This window comes from Homo sapiens, chromosome 4, assembly GCF_000001405.40.
Source record: "Homo sapiens chromosome 4, GRCh38.p14 Primary Assembly".
Taxonomy (NCBI): domain Eukaryota; kingdom Metazoa; phylum Chordata; class Mammalia; order Primates; family Hominidae; genus Homo; species Homo sapiens.
The window spans coordinates 70,382,856-70,390,839 of record NC_000004.12 but is presented as its reverse complement, the minus strand read 5'-3'; the positions used below and the strand labels follow the sequence as shown (position 1 = coordinate 70,390,839).

Here is a 7,984-nt window from a genome sequence, read left to right as displayed (position 1 = left end):
GAGAAAGATGTAGGCTGGTAGGCTAGGCCAGTCTCTCTTTCTACATTTTATCTGCCTGCTTATATTCTAGCCACGCTGGCAGCTGATTAGATTGTGCCCACCCGGATTAAGGGTGGGTCTGCCTTTCCCACCCTACTGACTCAAATGTTAATCTCCTTTGGTGACATCCTCACAGACACACCCAGGATCAATACTTTGTATCCTTCAATCCAATCAAGTTGACAATATTAACCATCACAGGCACAGTTTCAGAAGTAACTCTTATTTGTTTCTTTTTTCCTTTCATTGGCTGAAATTCAGCACATGGCCATGCATAATTGCAAGGAAGGCTAAGAAATGTAGTCTACCTGTAGGTCCAGAAAAAATAGAGAAATGGATATTCCTTTGAAATTATGAGATTTGTGCTATAATCACCATTTCTATGATAGTTAAACTATTTTCTCACTTTAGGAATACTCTAAGAGATTTGATATTTCTTCAAAGTGATTCTAGAATAAATATTTTCTTAAGGGTTCAAATGATCTATGTTCACTCATTTAGGTGACATAACTGGGGGAAAAATGTTGGCTTTGATGACAACAGTGGAGACTTCATATTGGTGCTCAATTCTTTATTTTTGCCTCATTGGTATAAATGTTATGTCTGCATGGGTTTTTTCTACAATTTCTTTCTAAGATTATTTCTCCCCAAAGCTCAGCACTTTTGGAATTTTTCATTCTCATCCAAAAATGGAAGCAATTTTATGTAAATGTCTCTTGGAAGCAGTGTTGGAATTCATATTTTGGGTAGTAGAAGCAGTAGTTACAAGGGTAGTGGTGTCTTTTGTGGTGGTGGTGGCACCTGCTGCAGTTGTTCATATTTGGGGTGCAGGAGTAGGGAGGGTAGGATCAGTTGGAGAATTTACAGGGAAAAATGGAGGTCCAGGTGGATAGGGTCTTGGTCGGGAAGGAGGCTGTGGATAACCTGGGGCATCAGGATGGAGTGGTGGACCTTAGGGTTGAGGAGGGGGTGGTGGAAATATCCCTGGACCATAGGGTGCGGGAGGAGGAGGTGGGATTCTCCCTGGACCATAGGGTGGAGGAGGAGGTGGTGGAACAAATCCTGGGCCAAAAGGTTGAGGAGGAGCCAGCGGTCCAGGTGGATATGGTCCCCTGGGGCCTCTTTGACTCTCACCAGGCTGTGGAAATAAGAAGTAAATAATTTCAAATCAGATATTTCACAGTTAAATATAAGGGTGAATGCTTTCTGTGGTAAGCAGAACTCTGAGATGGCCCCAAGATTTCTACTCCCTGCTGGCACATGCTGGCCTGACCTTATCAGGTGAGCCCTTTTAAAAAAGGTTCTACAATGTCAGAGACAGAAGAAATCAGAGAGATTTGAAGCTGCAGTAAATGTTTTTCTCTGGGCTTTGAATCAAGATGCCATGTTGTGGGGAGGGCCATGTGGAGGTACATGGTAGACTGGCTATAGCAGCCGAGAGTGGCCCCTGGCTCGTAAGCAGCAGGGAAGTAGGGGCTTCAGTCCAATAACCAAGGGACTGAATCCTGCCAACAACCATACAAGCTTAAAAAAGGACACTGAGCTGCAGAAAAAGAAATACAGCAGTGGGCACACCTTTTCAGCCTTGTGAGACTGAGCAGAGAAGCCAACTAAGCCAAGTTTAGAGTTGTGGCCAAAGAAACTGAGATAATAATGAGTTTTTAATGCTACTAATTGGTGGTAGTTTGTTATGCAGCAATAGAAAACCATTACATTGTATCTAAGTCACATAGTCTGAAAGTCTATTATCAAAGAAAAAAAGTTTCTCTTTTGCTTTCTGAATACGTAGGCTCTCAATGAAAGCAGGGATAGTATTGACTAAAAAAATATATATAATGAGCAAAAATCTTATCCTTTGCCTATAGTCGAATCTGTCATTTAAGTCAATTGTAAGTGGAAATAAATGCCCTTCCAGGATGAGAAAAATGTCTTATTATGTCTAATTCAAGAGTTCAGGGCTGTTCAGACTTTGAACACTAATAAATTGTGAGAGACGTCATGAGCACCTACTTTGTGCAATGAGCTAATGTAGGAGCTGTGGTGGGGATCCAGGGTTACAAACAGATCTTCTATGAATCTACAGGCCAAGGAGTTACAATACAAGGCAGGATAAATATGATCTAAAGGGAAATGAAATGAGTGGAATGAGTCTCTGGGATTTCATGTGAGGGTTTGAGTTCTGCTTCTGGCACGTAGAGGTTGGGTGAGTGTGGAATCCTGTTTGAGTCTCTTTTTTCTCATCAGAAAAATGACGTTAATAAAAGGACCCACCTCCTGTTGTTATTGTCAGATTTTTGTTGTGAAATATTACCTGTAAAATGCTTAGAGTGATGATTGGCTCAAGTATGGTTTACATAGAGCACAATTTTTAGAAATAAAAATAGCTGAGGCTGGGCATGGTGGCTCATGCCTGTAATCCCAGCACTTTGGGAGGCTGAGGCAGGTGGATTGCTTGAGGCCAGCAGTTCAAGGCCAACTTGGACAATGTAGCAAAATTCTGTCTCTATTTTAAAAAATAAAAAAAAAATAGCTGAAAAGTAGTGCAAGGAACAAATACATTAAGGAGTTAAAGCGATCAGTTCTGGATAGGAAAATGATGAAGGATTGTTCTAGTGAGAAGAAGTCATTTGAAAAGAGGCTTAAAGAATATAAAATAAGGAGAGAACATGCCAAACAGAATGAAAATACACAAATGCTCTGGGGTAAGAATGAAGTTCCACTCTACTGATGACAAGAAGTCCAGGTTGCTTGGAGCAGATGGTTTACACAGGACACAAAACTACATTCACTTCTTGTGGTTCTCAGTCCCTTCACCTATTTGTCTGGTATTACCCTTGTTAAATCTAAACTTTAGTATTACGGCAAAGCATCTCTGTCCTGGATTCCTAATTCCAGGTTCTTAACAATGGTAGAGGATGTCACAAGCACTGTACCATCAGAAAGTTAGCGTCCTTCAGTGCTGCCTGAAATCCTTTTTTGAGTGTCTTATCTTAGATTATCTCTTCCCACTTCCCCAGAGGCCTGTAATTTTCCAAGTTGATGCCAGTTTTATCAACATTCTCCACCTCATCCTGAGCTATCATTTACCCCCACCAAACTGGCTTTTCTCCTGCTTCACCAAGATATTTCAGGCAATTAGAAATGAACTTCCCTGATTTACTGGCCACACAACCATGGAGTCATTGATAGCTAGGAATTTTCTGTTTCTTTACAAGTGTCTTCTCAGGGACTTGGCTCTGTCAGTCTTCCCTTTACTTCCTGTAACTATAATATTGGAATTTGTTTTCTGAGGAAAATGAGCCAGTTAAATGGCAGGAATTATAAACTGGATCATTTTCTTCAGAAAACAACTATCATTTATGTTCCACTCACCCTTCTCCCCCACAATCCTATTGGCTTTGCATCTCCCTTCCTGAATTCTAAGTCTAACCACTTCTTATCATATCTCTTACTTCCACTTTAACCTAAGTCATTTGTTTTTACCCAAATTACTGTAATGACACCTTGATTTGACTGCTTGATTCTACTCTTACACTTTCACCTAAAATATACAGAAAGTTTAAATAGATCATTTGCAAAAGAAGTATCAAGTTATATTATTTCCCTGCTTATAAAAGGTTCAGTTTCAACCACCGGTACCCTTGTTGTTGATTTTCTTGTCACCTCTTTCCTTCAAAGCGAAACTTTGAAACTTTGAAAGGGTATTCTAGATTTGCCAACTCCACTTCTCATTTCCCATTTGCTCTTCAACCTGGCTTCTGCCTTTAACATGCCAGTAAAAGTTTTATTAGGATCACTAATACAACAAATGAAAAATACCAAGGCACTTCTGTAGAACTGGCCTCATGTTTGTCTTCTCTAGCTAATGACATTCTGTGGTATTATGGAGGGCATTTGACCCAAGTGCTGCCAAGCCAAAGACTAGTCAGGATGTATGGAAGTTCAGGACTTGATTTTTAATTGTCAAGAAAACAAATCCTTAGTGTGGGAAAATACTCCATTCACTTTTATTGTTGAAACAATTAAAAAATTAGCTGAAAGTGCCCTCGCCTCCTAAAGATATCCTGATGTTGATCTTAATATTAAGTAATGAAAAATCTTCATAGTAAGTATACCCAATCACATTGATTAGCTCCCTTTCCGCAACTGGCTAAAGGTAACGAACTCAGAAAAATGATGAAAATACTATTTTAAGAAGAAACACTACGCTCTCGAAGGACTATAATTGGCACTAATCTCCTACATTACTTTATTTAGGAACAGTCCATCTAAGACACGGATACTTTGAACCTAAATTTATTTGTATTTTAATGGGACTAATAGTAGTTAGACTTGCTTTATTTGTGTGTGTGTGTGTGTACATATACACACACACGTAAAGGACATGCTACCCTTCATATTTCCAACATTCAATAATTATTAATCATCATGAATCTCATATAATTAAGTTGGGGAAAGGTTGATTTCCATTTAAACTGCTTATGTTATCAGAAAACTATCTTTTTCTTTTTTCTTTTTTTTTTTTTTTGAGATAGAGTCTCACTCTGTCACCCAGGCTGGAGTGCAGTGGCACAATCTTGGCTCGCTGCAATGTCCACCTCCCGGGTTCAAGCGATTCTCCTGCCTCAGCCTCTGGAGTAGCTGGAATTACAGGTGCATGCCATCATGCCTAGCTAATTTTTGTAATTTTGGTAGAGACAGCGTTTCACCATGTTGGCCAAGCTGGCCTTGAACCCCTAACCTCAAGTTACCACCTGCCTCAGCCTCCCAAAGTTCTGGGATTGCAGGCGTGAGCCACCGTGCCTGGCCCAGAAAGTTATCTTTTTCAAATTAATCTTATAAAAAAAAATTTATATAATAAAAGCCTGATACTTTGAAATTATAAATGTTTTTCTTTTGTATTCTGAGGGAATAAAAATATTGAAAATAAGCTTTATAATCAAGCCATTAAGATATTACCTTTAAAATATATCAATATATTTTATTGGTTTATTAAAAATTATGTCAACATATAATGCTCTCAGTAATTTAGCCAAGGTCAGACTACCTCAGTAACCTTAGAATTTCCTGATTTTGTTCCTTTTTGAAAGTAGATGAGGCCGGGCACGGTGGCTCACGCCTGTAATCCCAGCACTTTGGGAGGCCGAGGCTGGCGGATCACGAGGTCAGGAGATCGAGACCATCCTGGCTAACACGGTGAAACCCCGTCTCTACTAAAAATACAAAAAAATTAGCCGGCCGTGGTGGCGGGCGCCTGTAGTCCCAGCTACACCGGAGGCTGAGGCAGGAGAATGGCGCGAACCCGGGAGGCGGAGCTTGCAGTGAGCCGAGATCGCGCCACTGTACTCCAGCCTGGGCGACAGAGCGAGAGTCTGTTTCAAAAAAAAAAAAAAAAAAAAAAACAAAGTAGATGAAAAAGGAATTATTTTATGTTTCATGTTTCAGAATGATGTAAATTTATGTTGCTTGATTTGTGGAAGTCATAATCTAAAAAAAACAGCTTTCATATTTTTCAATTTGATATAGATTTTATAGTACTTTGGTGGAAATTACTCTGGAATTAATATTCTCTTTCTGTCACTGGAATTAATCTAACACTACTTTGAAATCGAGTATGATTCTACTACTTTGAAATACGTGTGTTTTAAAAACATTTTTGTAATTTTGTATGATATTTAGTATCTCATTTGTCTTTAACCTGGTTTTGTATACAAAGTAGCTGTTTATATATAAATGCTTAGCATTCTCCCAAAATTTAGCATGCAAAGATACTTGTAGATCCTTAGTAAAATGCATCTTTCCAGGTCCCATTATCTGATACTCTTATTGAAGCTTGGATGAGGTCTTTACTATATTTTTAATAAGTGAGTTAGGTGACTCTGGTGTAAATGATCCATAAACTACATGCTGGGAAAACGGTTTTATTTTGATTATCTATTTTTATAGAGTTTTACCTACTGTGTAACTGACTAGAGTATGGGAACTTAACATTTATACGTATCTGTTTAATGCAGTCTGATACCACAGACTTGAGCTGTCCAGTATGGCAGCCATCAGACATGTGTGGTTATTTAAATTAGATTTTAAATTTAAATTTAAGCCCTAAACAGTGTTTCATTGATGATTAATAGTTACTAATATATAAGAAAAGGTAACATCATTAATGTAAAAAGAAATCTGAAGTAATGGTTAATGAGAAACTATAAAGAAGTGTGATCGTGATTAATGATACTTACTGTGAAACACGCTGCAAGAGCCCAAAGGCCCAAGATCCAAGTCAGTGATTTCATCCTTTCAGTTGCCTCTGAAAGTAAGCACAATAGGTGATCAGTATGATTGTTTTTTATTAAAAAGTACTATTTAAAATGTCTCAACACTTGGATATAATGTAATACAAATATCCTACTATAGCATTTTTAGGGAATTTGCCTAATGTTATTTTGAATTCAGTATTACTGTGGGGCAATATTAGTAGGCTTATAAAATTTGACTTCAAAATAGTGGAAGTAGTTTTTATTTTTGACTTGTAAACTGATCCTGGGGATAATGCCAAAGAGTTGTTCATACATTGCTCTGAGCAATAGAAGCTTTTATGACTAAGGTTTTTCCCTTAGAAGTAACTACTTTAAAATGTATACTTATTTTCATTTGAACATTTTGATATTTTAAAAATAGTAGATACATTATAGATTTCTATGGATGGGTTTGAGATATTAACATTTTAACTAGATCTTATGTTACAAATTTTATTGCTTGGAAGAGCTTAAAAATAAGGAAAAAAAAAAGGAATCACCCTGTTGGATATAGTCTAAAAGAAGAGTCACATAATATATTTCCTAGTTTTAACAACATTCTATTACATTAATTTAGGCTGTGATGAGTGGTCTCAAAGTGCTTCCAAAAATCCATATATCAGAGACCAAGGCAAGAACATGGAGATGTCCAGGTATTCTACTCTCAATTGGGTCAAATTTTACAATATATTTCAAGTACATGATAGCTTGATTTTTGGGAAAGCAACTCCATACACCATGGTGCAAATTGGCTTCCTGTTAGTCAACTCTGCACATAGGTTGAGTGTGTGGTCTGAGCAATGCAAGTCTTGAAAGAATCCTATGGACAAAATTTCACTGGATATTCAATTATATATATGTGGGTGTGGCTATTCCTTTAACTAGTACTTTTCCTATATCCATTCTTAAATTAAGTTTGAAAAACAAAAGAAAAACCAATAATAAAAATATTCTGTAGAGCAATTCTGTCTTTTAGAGTACACCTGAGACTATTCTATCCTTATGAAGTTTCAAGAACTTTAAGGTACATCAGGAGGAAAAGTCAATTGTGTACTTGGATGGACCGATTGGCCCAAATGCCCAACATGAATGTTTTACTCTGACCTGTAAAAACCAGAATTTTTCAAAATTTATTGCATTTAATGACTTACAATTTCATGTAAGCTACTTATGTTTTTGCTGATAATGAATGTTCTATGAAAAGCCCATAAAATGTTATCGTTGAAAATGTTATCTTTGAGAAAAATTTCAATATTCAAAGTAAAAATATTCAGTTTATATTTCCAAGTACCTACCTTTGTGTGAGGATCTGTCTTACAGTTGATTAATCTGCTGGTCAAAATGACTCTTGCCAGTTGAAAGACGGCAAATAAAGGTGAAAAGGGACAAGAAATCTTAGCTCTTATATATTGTAATGGATTTCTGTTGGCAATAAGAGAAAGGCTATTCGGAAATAAAATAACTTCCGAGTTGATGCTCTTCAAAGATAGGAAAGTTGTTCTTGCCAATTTGGCAGTCTTTTTCTGGATTTTTTTTCATTCCTGAAAAGCATTGACCTGTTCAACATTTGCTGTTTCCTGAGGAAACAGATACAACAAATCATAATATCCTATCACCTCAGAAAAACAATCTGGGGCCTGTGGTGCACCATT

At 37.3% G+C, this 7,984-nt stretch overlaps 1 protein-coding gene across 1 annotated transcript; it reads right to left on the bottom strand.

Moving 5' to 3' along the window:
• Nucleotides 1-595: 595 nt before the first annotated feature.
• SMR3B (submaxillary gland androgen regulated protein 3B) lies at nucleotides 596-7,709 on the bottom strand. The gene is made up of 3 exons (NM_006685.4): nucleotides 7,628-7,709; nucleotides 6,276-6,343; nucleotides 596-1,177 (listed from the first exon to the last, which is right to left on the bottom strand). The coding sequence occupies exons 2-3, from the start codon at nucleotides 6,327-6,329 to the stop codon at nucleotides 992-994; spliced, it is 240 nt and encodes a 79-aa protein (NP_006676.1). The 5' UTR covers nucleotides 6,330-6,343; nucleotides 7,628-7,709; the 3' UTR covers nucleotides 596-991.
• Nucleotides 7,710-7,984: the final 275 nt, after the last annotated feature.

Excerpts from the sequence above, each read along its gene's own strand:
- SMR3B (NM_006685.4), bottom strand. The coding sequence starts at position 6,329 with ATGAAATCACTGACTTGGATCTTGGGCCTTTGGGCTCTTGCAGCGTGT. Across the intron at positions 1,178-6,275 it reads CTCTTGCAGCGTGTTTCACA|CCTGGTGAGAGTCAAAGAGG; the intron begins GTAAGTATCATT and ends TTATTTCCACAG.